At 37.9% G+C, this 16,040-nt stretch overlaps 3 annotated features.

Annotated features, from left to right (window-relative positions):
* Nucleotides 5,829-6,625: an enhancer, noted in NCBI's record as "OCT4-NANOG-H3K27ac hESC enhancer chr8:129995201-129995997 (GRCh37/hg19 assembly coordinates)". NCBI's record gives its function as "activates a minimal SCP1, AML or CMV promoter by ChIP-STARR-seq in naive H9 embryonic stem cells {active_cell/tissue: H9 hESC(naive)}" and the evidence as "EXISTENCE:reporter gene assay evidence [ECO:0000049][PMID:30033119]".
* Nucleotides 5,829-7,094: a biological region, named in NCBI's record as "MED14-independent group 3 enhancer GRCh37_chr8:129995267-129996466".
* Nucleotides 5,895-7,094: an enhancer, noted in NCBI's record as "MED14-independent group 3 enhancer chr8:129995267-129996466 (GRCh37/hg19 assembly coordinates)". NCBI's record gives its function as "activates an origin of replication core promoter dependent on BRD2, BRD4, P300/CBP and CDK7 cofactors, and independent of MED14, by STARR-seq in HCT116 cells {active_cell/tissue: HCT116}" and the evidence as "EXISTENCE:reporter gene assay evidence [ECO:0000049][PMID:35650434]".

The raw sequence follows: 16,040 nt of genomic DNA on the forward strand, positions 1-16,040 counted from the left end.
CACTGCTGAGCATGACTTGTCTTAAAGAAAATAAAGATCCATGCACATGTATGTTTATTGCAGCACTGTTCACAATAGCAAAGACTTGGAACCAACTCAAATGCCCATCAATGATAGACTTGATAAAGAAAATGTGGCACATATACAGCACAGAATACTATGCAGCCATTAAAAAAGATGAGTTCATGTCCTTTGCAGGGACATGGATGAAGCTGGAAACCATCATTCTCAGCAAACTAACACAGGAACAGAAAACCAAACACTGCACGTTCTCACTCATAAGTGGGAGTTGAATAATGAGAATATGTGGACACAGGGATGGGAACATCATACACCAGGGCCTGTTGGGGGATGGAGGGTTATGGGAGGGATAGCATTAAGAGAAATACCTAATGTAGATGATGGGTTGATGGGTGTAGCAAACCACCATGTATACCTATGTAACAAACCTGCACATTCTGGACGCGTATCCCAGAACTTAAAGTATAATAATAATAATAACAAAGAAATACAGTAGTTAAGAACATGGGTGCTTGCATCAGTCATGATTTCCAATTCTTGTTGTATCTCTTACTAGTGTTATGGCACTGAGCAACTTAATTCAGTTTTCCAAGTCTCAGTGTTCCCATCTTTAATATGGGACTAAAGATAAGGCCTACCTTATAAGATCACTGTGGAATTGAATGAAGTAATTCATTTAATGTACCTGACCCAGTCTCTATCATGGAGAAAGCTTTCAGTAAGGCCAGCTTTGGTTGTTATAATGATGACAGTGCTGATGATGAAGTAAATGATGGTGCTCTAAAACAGAATTTTTCTTGATTCACAGTAAACCCAAAAACCAATTGAGTCCCAGAAGAACTCAATTCATGCCTGATCCTACAGTCAGTACACTTCAACTCATTGCTGGCTCTTTTGTGCAAGACTGTCTCTGGTTACGCTACCTCTCCTTAGTTCTGCTTTACTGAGTCCCAAGATCTTGCTAATCCTTATTCACCAGAAGAATGGATCCTGATCCTCTACATTCATCTCACTAGAAAAGGTCCTCATTCTTTTGAGTAGAATTAGGGCTCTAATTCTACAAAGACTCTAATTCAACAAGGGCCCTTCCATTTTCAAATATTCCTAGCTTGAGAGTTATTAACAAATCAGCACTACATGATTTTAAATCCATGTACTTCTTCAAGATTTACAACTGAAATTGTCAGACTCTTCAAATACCCTCAGGAAAAAGCTAGAAACACAATACAATGTAAAGTAGAGATGGGAGAAGCTGGAGGCTCCAAGCACTGTATCCTGGGTATAGGGTGACAAGGAAATTATAAAATACCCTTATTCTTTTCAAGTTTTTATTCTAGAAAAATGAGACACACTAAACATAAAAATGCACAAGTAAATAAATGTGCAAACAGTAATAAGCGTAATGAAGAAAAAGTGGAGGATGCTGTAAGAAAATGATCAATTGGGAAGGAATATCTTATGATGGTACCTCAGAAGAAGCGACTTTTAAGATTAGCTCTAAAGGATGAATAGCCGATGTCCAGGTATAGAGTAGAGGAAGGACCACCACAGATAGAGGGAAAAACATGGACAAAGATTGCAAAACATGAAAAAAGCTGGCCAATTGCAGTAAATGAAAAAAACTACTGCCTGCTAAGTGGTGCTATGAGAGTTTGGTCAAGGGACAAATGCCGCAGAGCCTTGTGCACCAGATTACAGAGTAGCTAAAGGAAGGACCTTTAGCAGAAGAGTGGCAGGATCAGATTTGTACAGGACTACATCCTCTTAAGTCACAGCGCAGGATTTAAACAGGCAACAACTGGTTGCAGTCTTGTAGTGCTACTACTGCTAATGCTTTGTTAAGTTAATGAAGAAGGAGAGGAAAGCTGACCGATGATGGTTGAGGTATGCTGCTTTTGGACTTGTTAGAAAACTATCCAGCAGTCACATATGTGGCTATAGCCACATCACTAGAATCTACAAGGCAAGACTCTTGTTTTGCATAGTGTCACATTCTCAGAGCCTAAAAATAATATGTGGCACATTGTCACCACTCAATGTTTTTGAACTAAATTAATCAGACCTAAAATCAATTTGAGTAATCACCACCAGTGGGTTGCCTCTTCAGCTCCTGAATTCAGTAGGACACCCTTCTAAAACACAGGTCTTCAGACCATCTTACTCCATGACAAAGTGTTCTTAGGTCCTGGCAAGCATCCTTCTCAGACATTCCTGGCTGCTCATTTTTGGGAAATCAGGCCACAGGCTAACACTTTTCTCAAAACTTAACAAAACAAAAAAATATAGTCAGACATTTGAACTGCTTGCTTTCTAGACCAGCAGATAGGAGAAGTTTAGGTAATAAGATGTCACATATTGGCTTCTCTCAGTGTTCTCAAAATATTTTATATCAAGTGAAATTATATTAAGAATGTAAAATTAATCTTCATCTTCATACCTATGTGAACACTTTTAATGATAATATGATAAAAATGAAAGTATTTCTAGCTGAATAACTTGCAAGAGAACAAGAAATCAATTTTACTTATTAATAACATAAAATATATTTTGTGCTGATTTTTAATTTTTCTCTGCATTCCAAATAATTTTAAGTATACCCTTTATCCTATCTTTTAAAATGTGAAATGATTGTTCTAGTAGATGCTAGTTTGTTTAATGTGTTTAGGTGTCAAAATAAAATCCATTTCCAAAATTGTTTAGTTAGTATATTCTTAATCTCCAGAATCCTAAAATCTTGGACCCATAGAAACAAGAGGAAATGCCAGAAAGATAAAAAAAACTTCCAGGGGTTCATGTGTTCCAAGCTGTGAATGGAAGATCTCACACTTGCACAGGTGGAGTTTGTACTCCTGTCATTATTTTCAGGATAAATGTTTAAAATTTTCAACTTCATTTTGCAGTGGAATATAATTCCTATTATTGCATAGTCAATAAATGAAAGAGATAGGATTCCGAGACAGATCTTTCTGGGTCCAAATCACATCTTCTCAGTCACTACAGGCTACTTATAGACTAAAATATAATTATTGAATTAGTGAATCAGTGAATGAATGAATGGATTATTTAAGTGGTAAGTGAAAGGGCCTTAACAAGACATATCTGACTTTAAATCCTGGCTTTGCCAGTTACCATTTTTAGCAGACTGTATTTTATTTTTTCCTAAGTGTTCGCTTCACCATTTCCTTTAAGGGGATTAGACAGTTTTGTCGTTGCCAATGGGAGAAGAGCTGATTCGATGTTCTAGCGCAACTTCAGAGCCATCGCATGGCTGCATAGTGATCTCTCCTGTGAAGATAATATGTCCTGGATAGTGCATTCTCTTTCAGTCTATTTTCTTCAATATGAATATGTATAAAACAGGGCCAAGTCTGACCCACAAAAAAGTAAACATTTGTTGTTCTAAGATTCTAAAATAGTTTTGGTTGTTTATTTCTGCCTCACAAAATTTTTTTTTTAAATCTCAGTGATGCAATATTTATTTGATCTTAGCCACTCAGCCACTTCAAGCCTGAATTTCCTCATCTGTAAATGAGGATAATATGTATCTACTTTATAAGGTAAACATGTGGATTTGATGAGAAAACAAAGTAACTACACAGTGCCAGACACATAACATGTGCTATAAAAAGTAAGTCTCAAGTGTCTTCACTTATTTGAAATGAAGAAGCTCTTCTCAAGCTCATACTGTCAAAGTGCTGCTTTATTGATTTCTTTTTTTTCTTAACTATCCATTCCAATTCAAGCCAACACCATTTATTAAGCATATATTATGGGCAACATTCTTTGGCAGGTGTTGCACCTACAAAGCGTTATTTTCTCATTCATGCTTTCCAGTTGAGAAGCAACAGCAGCAGAAGAACAACATAAAAATTACAGGACAGGTACATAGGTTTCGGGCCTGAAGCAAATATGTGCCACCAAAGAGAATGTGGATTCCTACAAGTGTTTTAATTAAGGGTTTTTAATATGTTCTGAGAGTTCACATAATCAAACCCAGTTAGTGGGCCAGGGAAACCAATCCAGATATTCAGACTATGGGACAGGATTGTTTTAGACTGGTATAAGTGCTGAAATGTGGAGAAAAGTTACCCAACATCACAGAAGTAGAAAGCGGGCAATCAAAGGGAAACATTAAAAATAGTGTTAAGAATATTTCTCAGCAGTAAAATTAAGAGTGGTGTTTCTCAAAGTGTGGTCCTCTGGACGTCTGTGTCAGAAACACCTAAGGAGGCTTATTACCAGGCAAATTTCTCGGCTTTGCCAAGACTTATCTTACTAGAATCTCTGATTGGCAGAGTTAAAGAAGCCACATCTGTATCTCTCCCCAGATTCATTTCAGGATCTTACTTTTGTCGTTGTTGCTGTTTGTTTTTTACTGCTCCATGAGAAGCAGGGCAAACTCATAGGCAGTGTGCCCAGAGTTGGCCTGGAATCTTACATTTTTTTAATACCACTGTTATATTACTTTATTTCTGATGTTTTTCTACCACACATAATTTTTACAAAATAAAATGTACAAATCCTGGATATTGAGTTTGTCATGATTTTAACTCATTTGACCCAACTGAACCTACCTGGTCATTATCACCAGAAATAAAATATGGAACAATTCTATCATCTGAGAATGTTCCCTAGTGCCCTTTGCTAAACTCTTACTTTTGCTCAGAGATAGCTTGTTATTATTGGTTATATTTTCCTGTCCTCGGGCTTTATATAAATGTAATTATACAAAATATGTGTGTGTGAGTGTTTATGTATGTGTATATGTTTGTGTGTGGTTTGCTTAGCTCATCATATTTTTGAAATTCAGCCACACTGTTATAGGTTTAAGAAGTTTGTTCTTGCAAACATTATTCCAAATTATGAATATATTAGAATTTTATTTGATTCCTCTGTTCATAGAGGTACAGGTTGTTTTAAGTTTTAGGCCATTATGCATATGGATGTTATGAACATTCTTATATTAATTTTTTATGGATATCTGTTTTTATTTCTCATATAAATATCTAGAAGTATAGGATTGCTGAGTCATATGGTAAGTATAGATTTAAATTTATATGACATCAACAAACATCTTTGTGTTCCTATCACAGTGTTTAAGGGTGTAATTGCTCTGTATCCTTTTGAGCAGTTGGCATTTTGTCTCTTTTATTTCTGTCATACTAGTGAGCATGGAGTGGCTTAACCTGGTGGTTTTAACTTGTATTTCTCTAAAGAGTAATGAACTTAATTAACCTGTTAGTTAACAATGCACTGCTAGATGTTTGTGTATCTTCTTTTGTAAAATGTTGATTGGAATCATTTCCCTCCATTTTTTTCATGCTCCCCACATTTGGAGAAGCAAAGCTGTGGAGGAAATATTCTGACCTCAGAATCCACAGACTTGGTTCTTACTGGCTCTGCCACAAATCAGTGTGTGAATTTGGGGTTAAGTTTGTCTGTTTGCTTTCTCATCTACAAAATGAAGGTATTAACCCAGATCGTTCATTCACTTATTTTCTCTTCTGTGAAAGAAAAACCAAAGAGGGACATAAGGAAGTGAACAGTGAGATCTGAAAAAATACATGTCTGACCTGCAGCATTTGCATAAAATTCTGCATTGCCATATAAAGCTTAAGTAATTAAAGGCTATTGTTTTGGTAATTATAGAAGCAAATATGTTGAGAATATTCTTATGCTAAAGGCTTTCCTCACCTCTCACCCTTACTCTTCCTGCATCACAATTCAAGTAGTCAATGCTCCCCAACTTCAAAAACTAGGGAAGTAGAGCTGGAGGGAGTGAGCCAGAATGCAGCAGTGAAGGTCCCTAAATTCCTTTCTCCTTTCTGGCCACCTCTGTGAAAGAGAAAAAAGAGTAAGATTGCTTTACAAAAGCAGAGCCGTGAGGATGTGTGCTTTGCTTGTCAGTTGAGGCTCCAGGATGATAAGAAGAAGGCAGCTGCAGGGAAATAGCTGTGTGTGTGTGTGTGTGTGTGTGTGTGTGTGTGTGTGTGTGTGTGTGTAGCACTCTTGATAGCATCCCAGAAATTTTCCATACCCCAGCATGAGGTGGATCAGTTAATTCACCATGTGTACCTAAGACCCAAAGAGGACTTGTAGGCAAGACAACGACAGCACAGGGCTCAGTAAATGTCTTACAAGATCAGCCTCCCCAGGACTCGGCAGGGTCTCTGTTATTCTAAAATCCACCCTGAGAAATATGTGCTGTGATGCTCTTAATTCACTTGGTTTTGCTTTCCTACTCACAACCAGGATAGTTGGAACGATGTAAAAATTAAGTTAATGTATTTAAAAAGTGATATGTTTGATTCGTATAAGATTTTGTGGACTAAAATTTATACTTCTATACAAAGAATTTCTGAAGAGGTGTCCTAAAGCAACATATCTTGCCCAGGCAAGATCCCGTGCAACGAATGCAGCAGGTAATCTAAGAAGGGTGCCTGAGTCAGAACAACCAGAAACTGTTCCCTTACAACACTTATCCATGCTGTCACCATTTTTTTTTAACAAAGAACAATTGGAGGCTAATCCAAGAACCCACTGTAGACTTTTTTTTTCTATAAAACTGCTTGTTTTTTTCTATAAAACTATATATTGAAGACTTACCTTGTCATGGCATATACTCTTAACAAATCCTTTTGCTGTCATCAAAAATGACTAAATTATTGAACATCCTCATGTATGTACACTATTATACATCAGCACACGTTGTCCCATTCCTATGCTGGTAGTAGACATCATAAATCAAACCTGGTACTCTTTCCCAAGAACCTAGAAGTTGCTCAGAATCCTGCACCATTCAGATCTACAGGCAGCCATTGCTAATCGATCTGAGTCATCATAAAAACTGAAACTTCCTTTGGTCCCTTTTACAGACACTTGGCCTAGGTGGCTGAAATCTGGCTATTGGTGAAGAATATCCAACCCAAAATGAACAAAGTATGGTAAAATTTCATAATGAAGTCTATTTCTTATTTATAAATTAGGCATGAGATTTACTATTTCTCCCATATCCAACTTTATCTCTCTAGTTTGACAAGTAGTGCTTCTCTCTACACATCATATATTTTCAAGCAAGGGATAACAAATTCTCTTACTTTATATACTCTTTCACAACTCTTTGACTTCTTATATACTGTTCCCTCTCATTGTGTCTTTTTTTTTTTTTTTTTTTTTTTGAGAAGGAGTCTCGCTCTGTCGCCCAGGCTGGAGTGCACTGGCGCAATATCGGCTCACGGCAAGCTCCACCTCCCAGGTTCATGCCATTCTCCTGCCTCAGCCTCCCAAGTAGCTGGGACTGCAGGTGCCCGCCACCACCCCCGGCTAATTTTTTGTATTTTTAGTAAAGACGGGGTTTCACCGTGTTAGCCAGGATGGTCTCGATCTCCTGACCTCGTGATCCGCCCGCTTCGGCCTCCCAAAGTGCTGGGATTACAGGTGTGAGCCACGGTGCCCGGCCCCATTGTGTGTTTTTTTATGGCACCTTTCCCTCCCACCACCACCACCACCACCACTACTAGGGAGGATCTTCATATGAGACTATAAACTTCAAGATCAAGCTAGTTAAATATGAGCATTTTGCAGGTAGTTCCTGTTGTCACTCAGCTTTACAATCATTGTTCCTACTTCTCTCTACTTCTGAGGCTAGCAGCCTGTAAACTACATCTGTCGGACACCAAATGCCAGCTGTCTTTGTGTTAGCTTATGCCGTGGCAGGGGCCACTGATGGGAGCCTGGAAAGTGAAAGGGAGGAAAAAGCATGTTAATTACATCTTTTGGTGGCACCTTTGGTAGTGGCAGCAGCTGTGCTGGTGGCACATGTGTAGTTGTGGGCTCCTACTCAGGCAGCTAGTCCAACAGCACCAATGTTGTGGTGCAACGATTGTGGGCTCCGAGTAACATCATTCATTATTTTCTTTTTTTTGCAGCTTTTGGGGCAGTCTTATTGTTTTCTGCAGTTACTAACCTGTGACCTTCCCATCTTTGTCCCACCATTCCTTCTCACATCTTTGTAAACAGTTATCTGTTTCAAATTACTTATTTTTAAATACTCAGAGAAGCTCCTGTTTTCCTAATGCATAGCATAAAAAGCAAACAGGAAGATTTTCTTTTATGAGTTGCCTGCAAGGGGTCCTAAGAAGTTGAAATTGTTGTTATGAATCATATCCTGATAGCAAATCCCATCAGGCTCCCACTATTGGGCATTACCATTATTTAAAGCCTAAGCACTTGATCATGCTCTAGAACAAGGGTCAGCAAACAATTCTGTAAAATGAGCCAGACAGTAAGCATTGTAGACTTCATGGATCATGTAGTCTGTGTTGCAAGTACTCAGCTATGCTATTATATCATGAACATAGCCATAGACAATACATAAACAAGTGGGTATGGCTGTTTTCCAATAAAACTTTACTTATAAAAACAGGCAGTAAGCTAGATTTAGCCCCTTAGTTGTAGTTGTAGTTTCTCTGCTCTAGAAAGTTGGAAATGGAAGAAGAGAGGTTGAAATTAATAGTCAATAAGAGAAACAATAATTCATTTCAATCATTCATTGTTATTTATTTATTCAGTTTCCAATTCACTCATTCATCTACCAGTTATTTATTGATGCTGCTCTAGGCAATAGGGATAAAATGGTGAGTAAAATATACACATTACAATGAAGAAATATTTAATTTTATAGATTAAAGCATAAGAAAATCTAATTTCCAATAACTCTGTAAATATCTCTCAAACTCTAAATGCCAAGACTTTTCCTATTAACTTTGCCTCAGCCCTTCTCATGGGCCACCTGCCTTTGTGTAATCCTGTCATGACTCTAACTCCTACTTAAGTTCATGCAATGAAAGGACATTCATTAGACAGATGAGCATTCGCTTTCCAATCCAAGTGCAAGGCTTTAATCAGTCCTGAGAAACACTTAAAACACAAAGAGCCTCTAAATTGCATTATCCCCTGGAAAGATGTGTCCGCTCCTACATGCACAAAACAATTCCATTGTTCTTATCATAGAAGAAACACAAAAGATACCACCAGAATGCTTTCATGTGTCCCCTACATAATGCCTATAATTAAATGCACTATGTACATGATTGAATAAAATTTCATTTACTTTTCAGCTTCTCTCAAATAACACTAGGATTTAGAAGATCAAAGCAACAGGCCATTTTAAGTTTTGAGATTTTGTTTCACAAGCACTAGCATTAATCTATCAAGAACAGAAATATCTTTTATTATTCTCAAAAATAACAGTGGTAACTAAAGTCTCCCCAAATTCATATTTAATCTAATATTTAATTCAAAATTCTTTACACAACTAGTTTCCTCTCATCACAATATGTAGTGTTTTATATAATTTGCATTGTTTTTATCTTTTTACAATGTTTTTACATATTATTTTAATCAATTTCAAAGTTGAAAAACATTATAAGATTAGCGCAAAGAATTGCTGGATCCCCATTTACCCAGAGATGCCATTCAAGTTTTATCATTTTCCTAATAACTTTCTTTATGGTAAAAAGTTCCAATCCAGTATCACACATTGCTCCAAGTTGTCCTATCTCTCTGATTTCCTTTAACTTGAACCAGCCACTCAGCCATTCCTAGACTTTTCTTATGTTGATATTTTTGAAGATCATAGACAAGTTATTTTGCAGTGTCTCTCCATTTGGGTTTGTCCAATGTTTGACCATGATTAGATCCAGGTTATGTGTTTTTGGCCAAAACTTCACACCAGTAATGCTGTGTTCCCATTGCCTCTTTTCTGGTGGCACATGATGCCCATTTGCCTCATTAATATATTAATTTTGATCACTTGGTGTCAGCCAGTTTTTCTACATTAAAATTACTTTTCTCACCTTTGTAGTTAACAGATATTTTGTGAGAAGTTTCTTTGACAAGGTGCAAAATCCTGTTCCAAATTCCATTTTCATTTCCTAGTTTTAGCATCCATTGGTGTTTCTTACCCGAATGAATTCTTTCTATGACAGTTGTCAAAAGATTGGGCGACCCCATCATTTCATCTACATCTATATTATTGGTATCTAAAACCTTATCATCTCTCTATTTATTTATTGAAGACACATGGATTCCTATTTTATTCAGTGGGCTATAATCCTCTACTATCATCATTTGTATTGATGTGCAAATTGTCCCAGATTTGGCCAGTATGAGCCTCTTCTAAGAGGTTTGGAAACCTATCCAAAATGACACAGCTTGTAAGTGCTGGGGCCAGGAATAAAACCTACAGTCCTCATTCCACTGATTTCTAGAATATATATTTAGGCTTTTTAGAATAATAAGATAAACATTTTATGCCTCTATGAATATTCAGAATTAAGTATTCCACACTATCTCCTCTTTAATTTATAGAATAGAAAGGATTTTGCTATGTGAGCAAAAACTGTTGCTTCAAATCACATTCTATTTGTTATGAATTGAGTGTTCGTGGTCCCCTCCAAATGTATATGTTGAAGTCATAATCCCCAGTGTATTTGAAGGTGAGGCCTTTGGGAAGTAATTAGGTGTAGATGAAGTCATGGGGATGGAACCCTCATGATGAGATCATTGTCCTTAGAATCGGAGGAGGAGGTCAGAGCTTTCCCTTTGCACCGTGTGAGGACACAGTGAGAAGGCAGTCATCTGCAAGCCAGAAAGAGAGGCCCTCCCCAGGAGGAGAATTTGCTGGCACCTTGATCTTGGTCTTCCAACCTGCAAAACTGTGAGAAATAAATGTCTGTAGCTTAAGCCACCCTGTCTGTGGTGTTTCATTGCAGTAGCCCTAGCTGACTAAGACACTATTTTAACAAAATTAATACTGACATGATAAAAACAGATTTAAAATAACTAGATTAAGATAATGGAAACAAACCACTATTGGCTCTATAAAAATCATCAAGAAATGCCATGCACACATTTTTAAATCAATGGCAGTAGCTCTTGATGTAGCTCTTTGAAGTTTACAAAATGTTTTCTGGCACATGGTCTTGCTTTAGAAGGGTAGAATTGATAGCATTTGTACATTTTTCTTACAGCTTAGGAATGCTAGGTTTTTATTATTAAAAGTCCCCTTCTCCAGCCAGTTAAGTATATGCTGGGAAGGAAGAATCGCAGGATAATGGCTGGAAAAAGCATGAAGACAGCATATGGGTAACTTTCTCAGTGTCATTCTTTTCTGCTACCATTTACTGATCGTAATTCAACCTGTACTTACTAAAAGTTGCATTGCTTTTTGGGGCAAGTGCATCAGCGTGAGCCATCCCATAGAAAGCTGGGATATGCTGGACCTCATTACAGGAGATGACAAGAGGGTTCTGTGTGTGTTTGCTGCAGCCTCTAGCTTCCAGCTCTCTAGGTTGGCAGGGTCTATATGTCCCACATATCTGTAACGTTCAGCTCTTGTTACCGGTCAAAGTTCTCAGATTTCTTCTTCAGTGACAGCAAGGGCAATTGAGGACTTTGGTCAATGGTGACCATTCTGAAGTCTTACTAAAAGGCAGAAAGGGAAAGAGCACAATATGGAACCAGAGAAGCCTGGGTTTCAACCCTGACTCTGTGCCTTCCTAGTCCTGATGTCATAGGTGAGCGATTTTATTAATCTGAGACTTATTTTTATCATTATCATTTGAAAATGTGGACAATGCCGGAAGTAGTTTTGATTACATTATATACTGAATGTGATATGATTCACACATACCTAATGCTAGATAGCCTAGATAGAGTTTCCTCCAGAACTTCAATGTGTGGAATATTTGGGAAAGGCAAGGTGTGCATTGCGGTGCATTGAAACATCTAGGATTAAAATCATAATAAACAATAAAATGGCTTAAGAATCCACAGCAGAAAGAGCTGATTGACTAGGATGACAGGCAATTATGTGGGGTCATGTGGCCGAGTAGGATTTGGATAGATGGTGAATAAGAAGGGAGAAAAGCAGTGGAACATTCTAGATGGTTTCATATTCATTTAAATGGCAATTAAACAATCATTTGACTGTCTATTAAGTGCCAAAAATTATGTAGACACTTTATTTTTAGGGGGTATGCAGAAACAAGTATAAAAGCTTTTTTAAAAAAATATTTTATCCTTTATTTTGGGTTCTGGAGTATAGATACTAATTTGTTATACAGGTAAACTCATGACTCAGGAGTTTGGGATACAGTTCTTTTGTCACCCAGGTACTAAGCATAGTACCCAACAGTTGCTGTTGTTGTGGTGTTGGTGGTTGTGGTTTTTCTGAACCTCTCCTTCCTTCCACCCCCTCCTTCAAGGAGTCCCCAGTGTCTGTTGTTCCCTTCTTTCTTATACTTTAAATATGATATTAAATAAGACAAGCTCTGTGTTAGTTTCCAGAACTGCTGTAACAAAGTGCCACAACTGGGTAGGTACAAACAACAATTTATTCTCTTATCATTCCAGAGGCTAAAAGTCTGAAGTTAAGATGTCAGCAGGGCCACGTTCTCTCTGAAAGCTCTGGGGGAGAACCCCTCCATGCTTCCTCCAAGTTTCTGGTGGTTTCTGACAGTCCTTGGTATTCCTGGATTTGCAACTGCATCGCTTCAATCTCTGCCTCTATTGTACGTGGCCTTCTTCTCTGGGTGTCTGTCTCTGTGTCTCTCCTCTTATTAGAAAGATGTCAGTCATGTTGGATTAAGGGCCCATCCTATTCCAGCATGACCTCATCTTAATTTACATCTCAATTACATCTGCAGAAACCCTATTTCCAAATAAGCCCAGACTCACAGGTACCAGGGCTAGAATTTCCACTTAATTCACTTGGGGGGAAATAGGACTCAACCACAATAATCTTCCTCTTCCTTAGGAGTTAATACTTGGAGACACAGTCATGGAGAAAGAAAAGATAATTGCAATATTATGTGAAATATACTGTGTTAGATATTTGTTCAGGGTGGCATAAGATGATATAAGAAGTATAAGGAAACATTTACTTAGACATATAAGATGTATATAGATATAAGAAGAATATAGATATATAGAAGTATAAGATATAAGAACTATTTACTTAGCATTGAGGGCATTGTTAGGCAGGCTTTCCATGCTGATGTGTCAGCTGAATACTGAACATGAGATAGAATTAGTCAGGTGAAGAAATGAAGAAAGGTCATCACAAGGAAAAGGAGTAACACACATATGTTAGAATACTTTGTGTATGAAGAAAATTGCAAGCAAAATGTTAACATCCATGGAGCAGTGGGAGTCAGAGGAAAGGGAGAAGATAAAGCTGAGGATCTGATGGAGTCAGAACACAGAGGGCTCTGTCTTATCAAGTTGGGAAGTATAGCTCAGTCTTCCACCACATCTCTACTGAGCACCTACTCGAATACTGTACCTGGTACCCGTGAATCTGGTCTTATTTGGAAATAGGGTTTCTGCAGATGTAAGTAAGATATAAATTAAGATGAGGTCATGCTGGGATAGGATGGGCCCTTAATCCAATATGATTGACATCTTTCTAATAAGAGGAGAGACACAGAGACAGACACTCAGAGAAGAAGGCCATGTATAATAGAGGCAGAGATTGAAGTGATGAAATTGCAAATCCAGGAATACCAAGGACTGTCAGAAACCACCAGAAACTCTGAAGAGGCATGGAGGGGTTGTCTCCCGGAGGCTTCTGAGAGAACATGGCCCTTATAACATCTTAACTTCAGACTTCTAGCCTCTGGAATGATAAAAGAATAAATTGGTGTTTATACCACAAACGTTACAATGGGAAAATGCATAAATTCATAGTACTATGTACAGAAAAATAGAAGTAAAGAATTATATATGAACAAACTGTAATGTTTTCGGAGTCATGGATTCTGAAATCCCTGCCGATAAATGCAAGCATTTCAAGGTTGTTTGGAAAATTCAAAGTGGAGGTTAGGATTCTTGTATACTCACTGACACAGAAGCGGAGCAGGGAAAAAAGAAAAAAAAGGATTTGCAGCGACATGAATCATCTGCCAATCATAGGTGTGAACATTTAAATTACCAGTTTTTCAAGTTACCAATTTTTATTAGCAATAAGTATACTCTTACAAATTAGACAGATATGACCGCCTCTGCCCTCAATGATTTTAACCAGTGGATTCCAAAAGTGTTTCAGGTACTATGATACCTACCCCATATAGAAGACATAAGCATATGCAACTTTTATCACACAGCACAATTTCTTCTTCCACCTCAGTTCTCCGTCTTCATCGGGACAAGGAGACATTCCAGAGAGGGTGCAATTAACAGCATTTTACGTCAGTCTTTCCCCTAAACAAAACATACTGTCCCTTTGCTATCAACGTGTTTCCCCTAAACAAAACGTACTGTCCCTTTACTATCGACAGCTGGCTTTCTGCAGCGTGTCAATTGCAAACAGAGGAGGGCCCTAAGGACTAACAGGCCCATAAGCAGTTACTGAGCAAACAAGGCTATTTGAGGTGCATTACTTTCTCCTGAGCTTGGTGTCAGGAAATGGCAATTCTGCCTTCCTAGACAAACTCTTTTACCCTGGGAGGGCTTGAGCAAGGGGCTGTGAAGGGCCTGCAGCAAGGGGAGGACTTATGAGCACGTGAAGTGCTGAAGCCCACGTCCCCAAACACTACTTAGAAAGGGCCTTATTTTTGGCCTCATGCCCTTCTCCAGTTTTATTTTCACTGAATAGTGTCCTGAACTCTATGACCTTTCCCATTAACACTTGTGGCTAAAATTACATGGCAGAGTCCTGGTGAAGAATGAGCTCAAGCCCTTTCTAAAACCCACGGAGCCATCCTAGATGAGCATCCCTTACCAAGAAGGGAAAGAGATAGAAATTCCCTTGAATAGAACGTGCACCTGAAAGAGAAAGAAAAGAGATGAACATGTTCATCTAGATGTACACCTAGATCTGCTAGATGATATGGATTTAAGGATGAATAACCTCAAGGAGCTTAAACTCCAGTGGGAAGTTCGAGATTTACATAATGAATTCCACTGCAAAGCATTCTATGGCAAAGTGATTTAGCAGAGTGACTGAAGACAGTGAAAATAACAATAGCTAGTGTTTATATGACTCAGTTTTTATTAACCAGTCTTTCTTACAGGCATTATCTTAGTTGATCCTCACAGCATTTCTATGCTTTGTAAGATGGTACAGTTCAGTATTTTCCCATTTGGAAGTTAAAAAAACTGAGGCCTAGAGAGACAAAGTGTCTTGGCCAAATTGAAAGTGTCTAGAAGTGATGTAGGTCTCCTGCACATTTCAAATCACTATGCTCTCATCCCAAGTGAAATGGTATTCCAGAATAGGAAAGGAAGAGTTGGATTCTGCCTGGTCATAAGTAGTGGTAATTTGGTTGTGGTTATAAGTAGATCCTGATGGTCTAGATTATAAAATCTATAACATTTTACAATTTGTCTCTATTCATCTGCCCACGGTATGAGAGGAATATTAAGTAACACAAGACAAGTTTTCCAAATGGTTAGGAAGGTATCTACCTTTTCCTTGATCCACATAAATGTTTATTTAGAATTCTATCTAGTCACTTCTTTTTCTCAGATGCTTTTCCGTTCTCTACACTCATTGCCTACACAATTCAAGATAAGTCTTCTGTGACAGGACACTGGGAATCTCCTTTTATCCAATCAGGAAATTGAACCAAAGGGAAGCAAAACCCTTATTTGGGCAGATCCCAGAATGTTGAAGTAAACAGGAAAATACATAATTAGAAGAGGTCTCCTTTCAAGATGCTCTTACCCGTAGACAAGTGCTATGACTAATAACTTCCTAAAAATACTTCCAAATTCTCATACAGACAGAGCCAGAAACATTTTGTGTTATTGTTTATGACGATATAAATGTTCACCTGTTCAGCCCATTAAAGAGCAAGTCCATAATCTGTAAGATAGGCTAAGAAATCCTATCAGCTCCTCAGTAGGAAGGTGTCTGATTCATCAGATAAACCTACATCTTTACGCTGAATATATATGACATAATAAGGGATCCATTAATTATTTGTTGAAAAAAATGAATATCAAGGAATAAA

This window comes from Homo sapiens, chromosome 8 (genome assembly GCF_000001405.40).
Source record: "Homo sapiens chromosome 8, GRCh38.p14 Primary Assembly".
Lineage (NCBI taxonomy): Eukaryota > Metazoa > Chordata > Mammalia > Primates > Hominidae > Homo > Homo sapiens.